The sequence below is a fragment of the Homo sapiens genome, chromosome 10, assembly GCF_000001405.40.
Source record: "Homo sapiens chromosome 10, GRCh38.p14 Primary Assembly".
NCBI classification, from domain to species: domain Eukaryota; kingdom Metazoa; phylum Chordata; class Mammalia; order Primates; family Hominidae; genus Homo; species Homo sapiens.
Window position 1 is genome coordinate 94290310 of NC_000010.11, and position 16856 is coordinate 94307165.

Here is a 16856-nt window from a genome sequence, read left to right on the forward strand (position 1 = left end):
CGGCCATTTTCTTTCTTATTTTTCTCCTTTTTTTTTTTTCCCATTCTGTGACTCCAGCCAAAGACATTTTCTTTCTTTATTCTGTAAGATTTTCTCTATTTTTAATTTTTTTTACTTCATTTTATTTTTTATTTTTTTACTTTTTAAACTTTTTTATTAAAAACAGATACAAGCACCCACATTAGCCTCGATCTACACAGAGTCAAGATCACCAATATCATTGTCTTCCACTTCCACCTCTTGTCCTACTGAAGGTCTTCAGGGACAATAACAAGCATGGAGCTATCATCTCCCATGATAACAACGCTTTCTTCTGGAATACTTCCTGAAGGACCTGCCTGAGGCTGTTTTACAGTTAACATATATATATATATGTAACTTAAAAAAAAGTATATATATATATACACACACACATATATACACATGTAATGTAGAATGAGTATACTCTAAAATAATGATAAAAAGTATAGTAAATATATAAACCAGTAACATATTTATTATTATTACCAAGTATGTTCTGTACATAATTGTATGTGCTAGACTTCTATATGACTGGCAGTGCAGCAGATTTGTTTACACCAATCTAATCACAAGCACTTGAGTAATGTGTTATGCTATGGATGTTAGGACAGCAGAAGGTGATAGGAATTTCTCAGCTCCAGTACAATCTTAAATGGGACCACCATCATATACGTGGTCTGTTGACCTAAATGTTGCTATATGGCTAATGACTGTACATCGCTTGTCTAGTTAGGGAGTTGATTTCAAAGCTTCCAGACAGATTAGGATTTCTGAAGGAAGATACCATCATATGCACTGGAGTCAATTTATTCTTTTTTTTTAAGTAATTCTTTTTCTTTTTAGAGACAGAGTCTTGCTAAGTTGCCCAGGCTGGCCTCAAACTCCTGGGCTCAAGCGATTCTCCTGCCTCAGCCTCCCAAGTCGCTGGGACTACTGGTGTGCACCACTGCATCTGGTTCTGGAGTTGGTGTATTCCTAAATACCTAGATGGCTTCTGCTCAAACTTCCATCTCGAAGCTTTAGTCATGTCAGATGTTCCAACATCTATATCTAAAATAAGCATTCTTATTCACAATCACAAGTAAAAACACAGATGAGAGGAAGACCCTAAAATTAACTAGAGACTCAGCTGAGGAAGAGAGGCAGCCACCAGGCTAACCATGTGGATTTAAATCCCAGCTCTGTCTCTCCATGACCTTGACTTGAACAGTTATGTATTATAGCTGCTCTGCACCTGGGATTCCCTATCTGTAAAAGGGGTGTAACAGTCCTAACTTAAAGGATTGCTGTAAAAAGTAGCAATAAAGTATCTAGTGTGATTAGCACATCGTCGGGAGCATGGTGGGTGGATCACTTGAGGTCAGGAGTTCAAGATCAGCCTGGACAACATGGTGAAATGCCGTCTCTACTAAAAATACAAAAATTAGTGGTGCACACCTGTAATCCCAGCTTTCTGGAAATGTTGTTATCGGTAAGTGAGCCAACGGGGTAGATGAAGGTTCTTTGTTGCTTCTTCATTATTTTTCTGGGCCCCTTCTCACAATTCAAAATCCTTCCCCTTCTTTGATCACTCAGCCCTTGTTTACATTCTTCCCCTCCCCATCCCAAAAGAATAACCAGGCTCTTCACTGAAGTACCCACATTCTGGTAGAAGATATTGACATGTGGCAGGATACAGGCAAAAGTCCAGAATGAACAGAGCCCCTCCCCACTGGTCCCTCATCAGTTTTACTTGGGAGAAAATCCATTATTAAGTAATTGTGTCAAGAGCAAAATGTACACAAATATTAAGATCAAGGTATGAGAACTCAATAGTCTAAGTTTGTGCATGTTTGCTATTATGAATACTTTGGAGGTAAAAGAAAACCTTAGAAGCCCCACATTAAGCTATAATAATAACAGCTACTATGGACTGAGCACTTCCCTGAACAAGACACACTACTAAGTATGGACAAGTTGAGCATCCCTAATCCAAAATGCTCCAAAATCCAAAACTGTTTGAACGCTGACATGATACTCAAAGGAAATGCTCATGGGAGCATTTCGGATTTTGGATTCTCAGACTGGGGATCCTCAACCAGGTGAGTATGATACAAATATTCCAAAATCCGAAGAAATCTGAAATCTGAAACACTTTCATGTCCCAAGCATTTCAGATAAGGGATATTCAGCCTGTATATGTATATTATCTTGTTTATTCCTAACCACAGCCCACTTACAGATGAGGAGGGAGTGTTCTAGAGAGGTTAAGTAACTTGTGTGAGATTGCCCTGCTAGGAACAGATTTTAAATCCAGCTGTCTCACTCCAAAGTCTATGCTCTTAAACACTACTCTATCCTGTCTCCTCTGATGATGTTCTTGGAATGTGTATTATCATCTGAAATACGACCTCCTGAATGCTGCTTCAGCTTAGGGAATTACTCTCCAAAGGTACAGTTATGACAGTGGGAACAATTTGGAGGCAATTCTGGCCTCACTGGTGCCTTCAGCTCACTCTTTTTACATTGGAGCCAGGTCTATGTGGTTTGCATTCATTTCCTCTTTCAGCAAATATGTATTCAGTTCCTGCTCTGCACCAGGCACTGTGCCAGGCATGAAGCATCCAGGGAGTTGTTAGACCAGGAGTGAGAAAGAGAAGCCATAAACATCATTATCACCATATTTCCCATCTTCAGAGTAACCATATGAGTGAGTTCCTATCATTACACACATTTTGTAGATAAGGAAACTGAGGACCAAAGAAGGAGGTGTTATGTCAAGGCTAATATCAGCAGGAATTGAACCTAGACACTATGACACTAAAACCCAAGTAATAGCCATTCCTTCATCTCTCCAAATTAAATAATTAGCCACTGATCATTTCTGGCCACAGCACCTTCTTTTCATGCAGTTTTTCAAAATCTTTCTGATGCACAATCAGCTAAGTGTGTGTGTGATTTTGTGGTCATTCTGTGATAAGCATGCAGTTCTTGTTGCATTTGCCTATAGAGATTTTTAAAACTTTGCTTTAATTGCCTACAATGCTATTATTAACAGAACAAAAACTGCCAGTAGGGTTTCTGTACTAGGTTCCAAGGGAGTAGTAGGACTTCAAAATAAATATTAATGGGGATGGAAAATGTTGAGTTGCCTTGCTTGTAGTTTTTGGCTTATTTATTTTCATTTTATGGGAACAGGACTGTCAACTCTAAATGCATCTGGCTCTAGCAGAGGAAAAGAAAGGAAAAGCAGGAAGTCCATTTTTGGCAACAATCCGGGCAGAATGAGCCCAGGGGAGACAGCATCATTTAACAAAACATCTGGAAAAAGTAAAGTCACTTTCTTACAATATCTTTGCTTGATTCTGCATGCTGGATGATTTAGATATTTTACTGTCTAAGCACTTCCCTTGAATTTTTTAATTCTTTTTCCTGAACATTAATATTGTCTGAGTATAGTATAAATTTTTGTAATTGCTAACTTACACTTTTAACGTACTAAAAACAGCATTTCAGGCTGGGCACAGTGGCTCATGCCTGTAATCCCAGCACTTTTGGAGGCCAAGGCAGGTGGATCACTTGAGGTCAGGAGTTCGAGACCAGTCTGGCTAACATGATGAAACGCCATCTCTATTAAAAATACAAAAAGTAGCCGGGTGTGGTAGTGCACACCTGTAATCCCAGCTACTAGGGAGGCTGAGGCAAGAGAATCGCTTAAGCCCGGAAGGCAGAGGTTGTGGTGAGCTGAGATCGCACCACTGTACCCCAGCCTGGGTGACAGAGCAAGATTCTGTCTCAAAAAAATATTAAAAAATTAAAAAATAAAAATAACATTTCACTGAAGATGTTTGAACAGTGTTTGCCTCACGAGTAAAAATTAGAGGCACCTTGGAACATTCTTGGAACATTCTAGTGGTTTCTTGGAGCTGTTCTCTTCACCATTATAACTCCAGAAGATATGGCTATTTTATTTCTAGTTACTTTTTATTATGAAAGTAATAAATTCTTGTAGTTAAAAACTCAAACAATACAGAGTATTATTAAAATTCCTTTCCACTCAATGTCCTGGTGCTATTCTCCAGAAGTAACCACTATTAAATTTATTGTGTTTTGTTCAAGAAAAATAAGATCCTTTTTAAGATAATCCAAATGGGATACAGGCATACTTCGGAGATATTGCAGGTTCGGTTCCAGACCACTACAATAAAGTGAATATCACGATAAAATGAGTCACATTAATTTTTTCGTTTCCCAGTACATATAAAAGTTATGTCTACACTATACCATAGTCTATTAAGTGTGCAATAGCATTATGTCAAAAAAATGTACATACCTTCAATAGAAAATACTTTATTGATACAAAATGCTAACAATCATCTGAGCCTGTAGCAAGTTGTAATATTTTTGCTGGTGGAGGGTGTTGCCTCAACGTTGATGGCTGCTGATTCATCAGGGGGGTGGTTGCTGAAGGCTAGGGTGTCTGGCAGTTTCTTACAAGAAGGCAACAGTGAAGTCTGCCACATCAACCAACTCTTCCTTGTACAAAAGATTTCTCTGTATCATGCAATGCTGTTTGATAGCATTTTACTCATGATAGAACTTTTTTTTTTTTTTTTTTTTTTTTGAGACGGAGTCTTGCTCTGTCACCCAGGCTGGAGTGCGGTGGCAAGATCTTGTCTCACTGCAAGCTCCACCTCCCGGGTTCACGCCATTCTCCTGCCTCAGCCTCCTGAGTAGCTGGGACTACAGGAGCCCACCACCACGCCCGGCTACTTTTTTTGTATTTTTAGTAGAGATGGGGTTTTACCATGTTAGCCAGGGTGGTCTCGATCTCCTCACCTCATGATCTGCCTACCTCAGCCTTCCAAAGTGCTGGGATTACAGGTGTGAGCCACCGCGCCCGGCCATGGTAGAACTTTCAAAATTGGGGTCAGACCTCTCAAACCCCACTGCTGCTTTATCAACTAAATGTATGAAATATTCTAAATCCTTTGTTGTCATTTCAACAATGTTCACAGGATCTTCGCCAAGAGTAGATTCCATCTCAAGAAACCACTTTCTTTGCTCATCCATTAAGAAGCAACTCCTCATCCATTCAAGTTTTATCACGAAATTGCAGGAATTCAGTCACATCTGCAGGCTATACTTCTAGTTCTCTTGCTGTTTCCACCATATCTGCAGTTACTCCCTCCACTGAGGTTTTAAACCCCTCCAAGTCATCCATGAAGTTTGGAATTAACTTCTCCCAAACTTCTGTTAATGTTGCTCTTTTGACCTCCTCCCATGAATCATGAATGCTCTTAAGGGCGTCTAGAATGGTGAATTCTTTCTAGGAGGTTTTCATTTTATTTTCACCAGATCCATCAGAGGAATCACAACCTATGGAAGCTTTAGCCTTATGAAATTTATTTCTTAAATAAGACTTAAAAGTTCAAATTACTCCTTGTTCATGGGCTGCAGACTGGATACTGTGTTAGCAGACATGAAAAATCATGCTGTAAACAGATGTGCTGTCATCTAGGTTTTGTTGTTCCATCTATAGAATACAGGCAGAGTAGATTTAGCATGATTCTTAAGGGCCCTAAGGATTTTCAGAATGGTCCATGAGCATTGGCTTCAACTTCAAGTCGCCAGCTGCATTAGCCCCTAACAAGAGAGACAGCCTTTTCTTTGAAGCCAGGCATTGACTTATCTTCTCTAGCTATGAAAGTCCTAGGTGGCATCTTCTTCCAATAGAAGGCTGTTTCATTTACAATAAAAAGTTGTTGTTTGGCCGGGTGTGGTGGCTCATGCCTGTAATCCCAGCACTTTGGGAGGCTGAGGCAGGTGGATCACAAGGTCAGGAGATCGAGACCATCCTGGCTAACACGGTGAAACCCCATCTCTACTAAAAATACAAAAAAAAAATTAGTTGGGCATGGTGGCGGGTGCCTGTAGTCCCAGCTACTCAGGAGGCTGAGGCAGGAGAATGGCGTGAACCCGGGAGGCGGAGCTTGCAGTGAGCCAAGATCGCACCACTGCACTCCAACTTGGGCGACAGAGCAAGACTCCATCTCAAAAAAAAAAAAAAAAAAAATTCTGTTGTTTAATGTAGCCACCTTCATCAATGATCTTAGCTAGAACTTACGAATAACTTACTGTAGCTTCTCCATCAGTACTTGCTGATATTATGTTATGGAGATGACTTCTTTCCTTAAACCTCATGAACCAACCTCTGCTAGCCTCCAACTTTTCTTCTGCAGCTTCCTCACTTCTCTCAACCTTCATAAAACAGAAGAGAGTTCAGGGCCTTACTCTCAATTAGGCTTTGGCTTAAAATATGTTGTGGCTGGTTTAATCTTCTATCCAGACCACTAACACTTTCCCCATATCAGTAATAAGGCTGTTTGGCTTCCTTATCATTTGTGTGTTCACTGGAGTAGCACTTTTAATTTCCTTCAAGAACTTTTCCTTTGCATTCATAACTTAGCTAAATGTTTATCGCAAAATGCCTAACTTTCAACCTGTCTTGGCCTTTGACATGCCTTCCTCACTAAGCTTAATTATTTCTAGCTTTTTATTTCTTTCTTTCTTTTTTTTTTTGAGGCAGAGTCTCACCCTGTTGCCCAGGCTGGAGTGCAGTGGCGCGATCTCAGCTCACTGCAACCTCCACCTCCCGGGTTCAAGCGATTCTCCTGCCTCAGCCTCCTGAGTAGCTGCGATGACAGGCGCGTGTGCCTGGCTAATTTTTGTATTTTTAGTAGAGACAGGGTTTCACCATGTTAGCCAGGCTGGTCTCGAACTCTTGACCTCTGGTGATCCACCCGCCTCAGCCTCCCAAAGTGCTGGGATTGCAGGCATGAGCCACCGTGACCAGCCTAGCTTTTGATTTCAAGTGAGAAACGTGTGACTCTCCCTTTCACTTGAACATTTAGAGGCCAATGTAGGGTTATTAATTGGCCTCATGTCAGTATCGTTGTGTCTCAGGGAATCGTGAGGCACAAGGAGAGGGAGGGAGATGGGTGAAGGGCTGGTGGGTAGAGCAGTCAGAGCACGCACATTTGTCAATTAAGTTTACCATCTTATGGGTATGGTCCATGGCACCCCAAAACAATTACAATAAAACATCGAAGATCACTCGTCACAGATCACCATAACAGATATAATAATAATGTTTAAAAGCTTGAAATGTTGCAAGAATTACTAAAATGTGACACAGAGACACAAAGTGAATACATGCTGTTGGAAAAATTGTACCAATAAACTTGCTGGAGGCAGGCCTGCCCCAAACTTTAAATTTGTAAAAAAAAAAAAAAAAAAAAAAAAAAAAAAAAAAAAAGTGCAGTATCTGCAAAGTGCAATAAAACAAAGCACAATAAAACAAGGTATGCCTGTATAACCAAACATACATGTATAACTTTATATTTGCTATAACTTTTCACATAATTTTCTGTACATATAGCTTCCTTATTCTCTTTAATGCTTGTGTGGTGGTCCACTGCATGGATATACTGTCATTTATGGAATCACTTCTTCACTGATACATTTGGGTTGCTTCTTGGTTTGGTTTGATTTTGTTGTTTCCTATGAAAAACAATGCTGGAGTGAATATCCTTGTACATATATTGTTTATTTGTGCAAATATACCACAACCCAAATGAAGTACTGAGGCAAAGGACTTCTAGGCTTTTAATTTAAATTGATGTTGCTACATTCATTTTGTTTTGTTTCTTGTGTGGGGTTTTTTGTTTGGTTTTATTTTATTTTTTTACTTTTTGTAGAGATGGGCTCTCACCATGTTGCCCAGGCTGGTCTTGAACTTCTGGGCTCAAGCAATCCTCCCACCCTGACCTCCCAAAGTGCTGGGATTATAGGAATGAGCCACCACACCCAGCCACCACACTCATTTTAAAACTAAGTAGCCACCATGTTGTTTTAAAGTGGCGAACTAACTCACAAGTAAAATCCAAGAGGTATTCTGATGTGGTTTATATGCTATGACTGTTTACTGGGATGTTGTTCAGGTTTATCTTTCTAAAATATTTAAAGTTTTCTACACTAATCTGCGGCTAATTTCTTGGGGGGTTTAGGTTCCTGTGAAGGCATTCGACAGACCTGGGAGGAATCTTCTTCCCCTCTCAACCCAACCACGTCCCTCAGTGCTATCATTAGAACTCCCAAATGTTATCATATCTCGTCGCTGAATGAAAATGCCGCCAAACGTCTGTGTCGCAGGTATTCTCAGAAACTGACCCAGCACACCGCCTGTCAGCTGCTGAGAACTTACCCTGCTGCCACCCGCATCGACTCTTCCAACCCGAACCCCCTCATGTTCTGGCTCCATGGGATACAGCTTGTGGCACTCAACTACCAGACTGATGGTAAGGGGCCTGCATGCTCACCTCGCTCCTTTGCATCTTACATTTCAGTAAATGCAGTTTGACAGCATTTTTTCAAAGGGGCAAGATTCCAGACTGGGGCACACCATATGTGAGAGTAAAAATATGATGATGGAAAACAGAAGTGAATTTGATACTGAATTGTGCCTCCGATGTTTCAGATTAAGGTGATAGAAAAGAATCTTGAAGGGGCCTGTAAGGTCTCCTGGTCCTGCCCCTTTTTTAATGCAGTTTTTCAAATACCAAGCTGCTCTTGACAAAGCCATGCCCGGTTTATGTTTAAAGCTCTTTTTGGAGCAGGGATTTCCTAACACTGCCCAGTTAACCTGTCTCACTACGCAGTTGTTCTTGCAGTCAAAAGGTAGTGTCACTCCAACCACTTTGCAAGTTAAAACCATGTTAGCGTCTTATCCTTTTGGAATTGAGATGGAGAATAATGGTCAGTGCCCGAAGAGTAGCTAGCAAAAGGAAAACAACTATGTGAAGTACATGAACAGAGTAAGTAGTGATCATGTTTCTCCAATGTCAATGAGACTCTGATATGACGCCTAAAACTCCAGAGTAGAAGCTGCCGTTTATTGCACGCTTACTGTGCATTAGGCAGTACGCTGAATTTTTGACCCCCTATTATCTTATTTAATATTCACAACAGCCCTAAAGTTGTGTACCTTTATGATCGCCATTTCTCAGATGAGCAAATCAAGGCACAAATTGGTTAATTTGTTCAAGGTTGCAGGATGACTTGTAGTAATAAATTCAAGGAGTCTGGAAGTTTAAAGGATAAAGCATTATGTTTCCACTTGGTTATGGGGGAGGAGAGGAGCTACAGAAGGTAAGAGTAGATAAATGTTTCCTAAAAGCTCTTTCATAAACCACAGTTTTTCCTTTGAACAGTCAAGCGGCAGGCAGCTGTTATCATTCATCTCGCGTGAACTGAATCCAATCTCATCTAACCATGCTGAACCACAAACCACAGTATGGCCTTGTCTCCAGCTGAGGTCAAACCACAGCTTTAGCTCTGGGACCAGCTAGCTACCTGGCACTGGTGCCAACAACACCCATTGGTGGATGCCCCAAAGACATATGATTAGAGATATTGGTCACATTTCTGCCCTTGTTATATGTGCTTCTTTCAGTTAAAATTAAATAAGATGATGCCGGTGAAGTACCATATTTAGCATAGTGCCTGGCACATAGAAAGCATTCTACAAAGGTTAACTATCATTGATTGTGTTTGATAAGTTATGAAAACAGTATGATTTGGGCTCACAAATGGAAATAATTGTGAAATACTTTCAAAGTTGTAAAAACTTTATTTTCTATTTCTGTTCATTCTTTCCTGAGTGGCTGGTGGGTTCACATCTCCAGCCCTGTCTGTAGTCCTGTGTCCACCTGGTGCCATTGGTTATTATCCCGGCATATTTTAAGTAAACTGAAGTCACTATCAAAAGATTTTCTCAAGGAAATGGAAGTGCATTTGGTTTTGGATGTGCCCTTTCTCTGGAAGTGCCAGGACTGGTATAGACACACTGGCTCCACTGAATAGCAAAAGGGAGCAACAGGTGAAGGGGACACAGGGAGCTGCCACTCCATGGGCCATCCTGCAGTCCAGAAGTACAAACTAAAGCTGCCTGTCCTCCACTGACCCTTAAAGGCTTTGCCTCTCTTCCAAATCAAGTTGGGATTGAGAGTACGTCTTTAAGCCGTCCCACTCAAATGGCTGTGCTGTGTGGTTCATCCTCAAGTTTCTCTGCATAATCTTCCAAACCGGGAAAAGGTGCTATCATATAACCTCTCTCCATTCAATGTGCTGATTAAACATCTCCCCATGTTGGACAAAATACAAGCAACATGCAGTATCAGTGTGTTCATCTGTAAAAATGGTCTTCATTTCTGCAAACTGGGGGTACAGCCTGATTTAATATTAATACTTTGCACACAGTAGATGCTCAGTAAATGCTTGTTACTCTGAGTTGAGGCAGATTATCTCTGTCAGCCCCACTGCAATATGAACATGTGGTTCTTGATTTTTGGTCAAGATCTTTTCCAAGTGTTTACTTCTCTGAATTGCAAATTCAAACAGATAGATAAGGCCAGGTGCAGTGGCTCATACCTGTAATCCCAGCACTTTGGGAGGCCGAGGTGGGTGGATCACTTCCGGCCAGCAGTTCGAGACCAGCCTGTCCAGCATGGTGAAACCCCATCTCTACTAAAAATATTAAAACAAAATAGTGGGGCTTGGCGGTGTATGCCTGTAGTCCCAGCTACTCGGAAGGCTGAGCGGGAAGCAGAGGTTGCAGTGTATCAAGATTGTGCCACTGCATTTCAGCCTGGGTGACAGAGCGAGACACTGTCTCAAAAAATACATAGCTAGGGGCCGGGCACGATGGCTTATGCCTGTATTCCCAGCACTTTGGGAGGCCAAGGTAGATGGATCACCTGAGGTCAGGAGTTCAAGACCAGCCTGGCCAACATGGTAAAACCCCATCTGTACTGAAATACAAAAACTAGCCGGGCGTGGTAGTGCATGCCTGTAGTCCCAGCTACTCAGGAGGCTAAGGCAAAAGAATCTCTTGAACCCAGGAGGCAAAGGTTGCAGTGAGCCGAGATCGCGCCACTGCACTTCAGCCTGGGCGACAAAGTGAGATACTATCTCAAAAAAAAAAAGAAAAAGAAAATTATATATATAGATAGATAGATCGAATAGATCGATAAGAGTCAACAGTGGAAGCACCATTTTTCAATTGTTGAAAAGAATTTCCAGGCTGGAAAGTGCTTGATTTTCCATGAAGCATCCCAACTAAATAGCAGAGAAACCCTCCCAGGGCCAGCCTCCCAAGAGGTTTCATGGATCATCTGCTCTGTGACTTCCTGGATTTCAGGGGATTCTAACGCTCCAAGTGGGTGTCCATGGACTTATGGCCATCCCTTCCCAAGCTTTCTGCTGGTTCCATCAACTCCAAGAAGGTCTGAAGTGATCTGGAACCAGGAGTTTCCCAGATCAACACTCAATAAAACCAACTCTTGAGTTTAGAAACTGACGTGAGGCTGGTATGCAAACCCCTGGTTATTGCTGGCAACAGACCCTCTAAGTTCTTTGCATCTGAGGCAGAACAATACCGCCTCACACCCAGACTTACAATGTGTAAACATGCAACCCTAGTCAAAAGAAAAACTTCTTTTTTTAAAGAATTTATTAAGCTTTTTTGAATGACAGACTTCCAATCCTCAAATATAAGGATAAACATTATGTGAATGGTGTCTACATAATGCAGAGTATTTTAATGGGTAGAAGACCATCAAGGCAATGGTATGTTTATCTATCATTATGTGCATTGTTTCAGAGGTGTAGCAGGGTTACACTGATTTGTGCACACTTTTTCACTTGATTGGAATGATGATTTTTAAACTATAGCCCCAGATGAAGTTCTGGGACCATGTCCAGGGGACAGCAAGAGGGCTAGATTTGAGGTCCGACCTTTATTTCAAACCGTGCGGCTCTACGTGGATCTCTTTTACATGTTTGGTCACCAAGTTAGATTTCAGTTAAGAAACTGAGCATTAGGGGAAAGAGCTGATGCACGCTGGGTTTAATACCTAGGGGTTGGGTTGATAGGTGCAGCAAACCACCATGGCACATGTTTACCTATGTAACAAACCTGCACATCCTGCATATGTACCCCGGAACTTAAAACAGTAAAATAAAATAATTTTTTAAAAGCTTCAAAGTTTTAATAATAGCTTTAGAGTTTTGGCTTTACAGCTTTAAAGTTTTGGAAAACTATTAGGGTAGACACGGTGCTACTGAAATCACTTGAGGTTGATGTCATGATCACAAAAAAAAAATAGTTACCATTTATTGAGCACCTTGCATGTGCCAAATCTCATTTACTGTATCCACACCCCTATAAGATGTACATTATATGGCTCAGTAGTTAAGATTGGGAACAATGGGTGAGGCCATCTGGGCTCGATTTATAGCATCCACCACTTACTCGTTATGTTTCTTGGGTGTTTTCACTTTTTCTGCTTCAGTTTCCTCATCCATAAAAATGGAGATACTAAAAGGATCTGCTTCATAGATTATTGGGAGGTACTTGATGCACATAAAGTGCTTAGAATGGTGTCTGGTCCTTAGTAAGAGTGCAGAGTGCGAGCTGCCATTGCTGTTGTTAGTACTGTATGTCCATTTCACCTTTACCAACCCCATATGAGCTAGCTGGCTTCACCCTCTTTGCTACCCTCACCATGTCTGTGTTCCTCTGTCATGAAGTGGCCTGAGAAGAGAATTTTCTCCCAATGCAGGTGAGGCAGCATGGCCACAATGAACCAGTCACATCAGGACTGGCAGGGGCCTGAGAGATGAGGTCCTCTGCAATCATTTTACAGATAAGGAGCTTTCATATGTCTAAGACATCTTACACTAGGAATTCCTGCACAAAATACTGGCCAACCCCACAGACAGGGAAACATTTTACAGACAGGACAAGTAGAGGCCAACTTCTCATTGCCCCAGGGCGTTTACTGCACTTTGCCTTGATGTGGCCCATGTACAGAGTTCGTTCTTACACATGGAAGGAATCTATCAGAGGGAGTATTCATCAGGTGTGTCTCATCAACTTTTTGCTCATTTGGGTAACTTTTATACAGACTTGCACCATCAGGTGAGCATTTGAGTGTGTAAGAGCCCAGAAACAGTGCAAGAATCCAATTGTTCATCAAAGTACTGTGCCAAATAAAATTTGGCAACAAAAAAGCCTCTGTGAAGGTTCCTGATGTTTATGATTGAGGGGATTGTGGACATGATGTGAATCAGATGTGATTATTTTTTTTCTTGTTTACGATTTTTTAAAAAGAAATAGGTGTATTGTAATTTATGGGATGAAATTGAGATTTCAAGGAAAAGCATGTTTTTCTGGCTATTCTCCTATTCTTTCTTGTATAATTAAGATTTTATCTTACATTTGAAATAGCAAGAATTGTCCATACAATTGTCTGCATGGCTTAGAGATAAGCCATTATTCCTTTCTAAAATTTAGTATAAAATAAGTAGAGTTGCCCCTCCATATCCTTGGGTTCCACATCTGTGGATTCAACCAGCTATGGATTGAAAATATTCATTAAAAAAAATGGATGGTCGCATCTGCACTGAACATATAACAGCCTTGTCTCCTTGTTATTTTTCCCTAAACAATACAGTATGGCAACCATTTACATAGCATTTACATTGGATTAGGTATCATAAGTAATCTAGAGATGATTTTAAGTATACAGAAGGGGGAGAATATATTCAGGGCAACTTGAATCTAGGCTCCCAGGGGAAAAAAAAAGAAAAAGTATGCAGAAGGATGGTATAGGTTATAATGCAAATTCTACACCATCTATATCACAGACCTGAGCATCTGTGGACTTTGGTACCTTCTCGTCCTGGAACCAATCCCCCATGGTCAACTGTATTTCACAAGATTTTTCAGACAGATGTAGCAAATATTTGCAAAGGAGTTTTTAAGTGATTTCACCTAGTTTGGAGTGGTAACACTGGGCATATCCATAGACTGTAAGCCCCAGAGGGACAGGAATTTTTCTCTTATTACCTGCTGTATCTGATGCCTCACACAACTTGGCATATAGTAGTCATTTATCAATCTGTGGGACGAATGGGTGATTATCTCTTTTTCATGCTGGAGCTTAGGGAAAATTGATGCAAAGTTCTTTTGAACTTTCAATTTATAAGGTGATACTTAAGCGACAAAGTAACAAGCTATATTGGCTTTCTTTGTTGTTTGTTTTACAGATCTCCCTTTACATTTAAATGCTGCAATGTTTGAGGCAAATGGTGGTTGTGGTTATGTATTGAAACCTCCAGTTCTGTGGGACAAGAACTGCCCCATGTATCAGAAGTTTTCTCCACTAGAAAGAGATCTGGACAGCATGGATCCTGCAGTCTATTCTTTAACTGTAAGTACGGCCCCTAGAGAAAGAACATAAGGTCGGGTTTAAGCCTTCCTGAAAACGAACTGGTTTTGAATTCAAGGCATTGGAAAGCTGTCATGTCACAATTTGGGTCATACAGATTTAGTTCCCAGAATAATGTATTTATTTTCCAGGAAGCAGTAGCTATGGCTAGACAAGCTGTTGCCAGACACTGTGTTTGCCAGAGCCCAGGAGCAGGGCATATGAGGTCCCTGTTTCACCTGATGTTCTGATGATGGTAACTCTGTCTTCCAGGGCCCACAGAATCATAACTATGAGTATAGCCCATGGAAGTTGAGCTTTTTGTTAGATCAGCTCATGTTAGGCTTCAAAGCTCTAAGATCAAACTCATGTCAATATATAAATACAATTAAGTATATTTCCTCCGTATAATTTAACCTTTATCATTCCTGGGCCTTTCCTTATTCCTTTTCACCTAATTAACTTATTGTCAAAACTCCACAGACTCCTCTTAAAAACAGACCTGGCCAGGTGCGGTGGCTCACGCCTGTAATCCTAGCAATTTGGGAGGCCCAGGTGGGTAGATCGCTTTGCGCTCAAGAGTTCGAGACCAGCCTGGGCAACATGGCAAAACCCTGTTTCTACAAAAAAATAACAAAAAAAATTAGCTGGGCATGGTGGTTCACACCTGTACTCCCAGCTACTTGGGAGTCTGAGGCTGGAGAATTACTTGAGTCCAGAAAGCGGAGGTTGCAGTGAGCCAAGATTGCACCACTGCACTCCAGCCTGTGTGACAGAGTGAGACTCCGTTTCAACAAAACAAAACAACAACAGAGACCTGGTCATCTCTTTCCACCTTTAGATCTTGTCTCTCTCTCTCCACAGGAAGAATGCCAGGCAGCCCTCCAAGTACGACACCCCCAAACCCCTGGGATAACCCCATTCACAGACTTTCCTACCACCCAAACTGCTTTTTCTCTTTCCCTAAGACAGCAGGGCAGTAGCCCCTTTCCTATTTGTTATTTTTTAGATAGAGGCGAGGGTAGTTTTATCTGTTTACAGAAAGCTGTGAATTAGTTCCTAACACGTCTGTGACTTGCTCCAAAATGAAACTATTCAAGAAAAAGATTTTGAAGTTATAAAATCCTGTGGCATTTTGAACAGAATATTAGTAACAAATTTATGATTATATTGCATAAAGTCTTCTCTTGTGAGAAATTTAACTTCATCTTGTTTGGTTTTTGAAGATATTTGAACATTTTGATAGTTGAAAGCTTACAGTTAAGTGAATGATGTTGACAAAATAGGCTTTTCATATGATTCCAGTCGTGTGATTACCCAGTTACAATCACTTACTTTTTTTTTTTTTGAGATGGAGTCTTGCTCTGTCACCAGGCTGGAGTACAGTGGCGTGATCTCAGCTCACTGCAACCTCTGCTTCCTGGGTTCAAGCAATTCCCCTGCCTCAGCCTCCCTAATAGCTGGGACTACAGGCGCACACCACCATGCCCAGCTAATTTTTTGTATTTTAGTAGAGACAGGGTTTCACCATGTTGGCCAGGATGGTCTCAATCTCCTGACCTCGTGATCTGCTCACCTCAGCCTCCCAAAGTGCTGGGATTACAGGCATAAGCCACCGCGCCCAGCCCTACAATCACTTACTTTTTAAACAGTTTTATTCATCATTCACTTTGTCCATTCCAGTGTTCTTGGGATTCCTTTGCAGAGGGAAGCAGTGAGGTGCAGAGGTTGTCTTTCTTTTTTATCCTCGGTGACTTTGATCCCTTTTGTCTCCCTCACCCTAGATTGTCTCTGGTCAGAATGTGTGCCCCAGTAATAGCATGGGAAGCCCGTGCATTGAAGTCGACGTCCTGGGCATGCCTCTGGACAGCTGCCATTTCCGCACAAAGCCCATCCATCGAAACACCCTGAACCCCATGTGGAACGAGCAGTTTCTGTTCCACGTTCACTTCGAAGATCTTGTATTTCTTCGTTTTGCAGTTGTGGAAAACAATAGTTCAGCGGTAACTGCTCAGAGAATCATTCCACTGAAAGCTTTAAAACGAGGTAGAATAAAATTGTCCAAATGTTAATAATTGTTGTAGCTAGGTGATGGATGCCAGAATTTCCTTATACTCTTCTCTCTTTTCTGTTTGACATTTTCCTATAAAGAAGTTGAATTAAGAAGCAAAAGGAAATACAAATTGGAGCACTTTTGAAGCACATCTCAAAAGAAGTTTTTCTTTTACATTTTTTAAGAATCTGAGGTATTAACAATATCCCTTGTAAAGTACAGCCTCACCCATGCTTGCTGATGTCAGGAGCAGTGGTTGTTGCTACCCACGGCACTGCTGGCAGTTTGAAAGCAGGGATTGAAATAAGGAGAGGAAACATGTCAGAGGGGTCGGGTGTGGTGGTGGCATAAGTGACCGTGCAGTTGGAGTCGGTGCCTGGCAGAAGTCCAGTTTTGGAAGCTGGGGCTGGGTTTCAGGTGCAGGAAGAGGGGAATGGAGAATTCTGGGCAAAGGCTAGAGCTATTTGCTT

General features: G+C 41.3%; 1 protein-coding gene across 30 annotated transcripts in view; it reads left to right on the forward strand.

The window, feature by feature from the left end:
• The window catches only part of PLCE1 (phospholipase C epsilon 1), a 338893-nt gene that overhangs the window by 296379 nt on the left and 25658 nt on the right, over window positions 1-16856 (forward strand). For all 30 annotated transcript variants that reach the window (XM_047425285.1, XM_047425289.1, XM_047425297.1 and 27 more), the window contains 4 exons: window positions 3199-3330; window positions 8070-8360; window positions 14173-14336; window positions 16118-16379. In XM_047425285.1, coding sequence (XP_047281241.1) covers window positions 3199-3330; window positions 8070-8360; window positions 14173-14336; window positions 16118-16379 — 849 coding nt within the window. The remainder of the gene's footprint in view (window positions 1-3198; window positions 3331-8069; window positions 8361-14172; window positions 14337-16117; window positions 16380-16856) is intronic.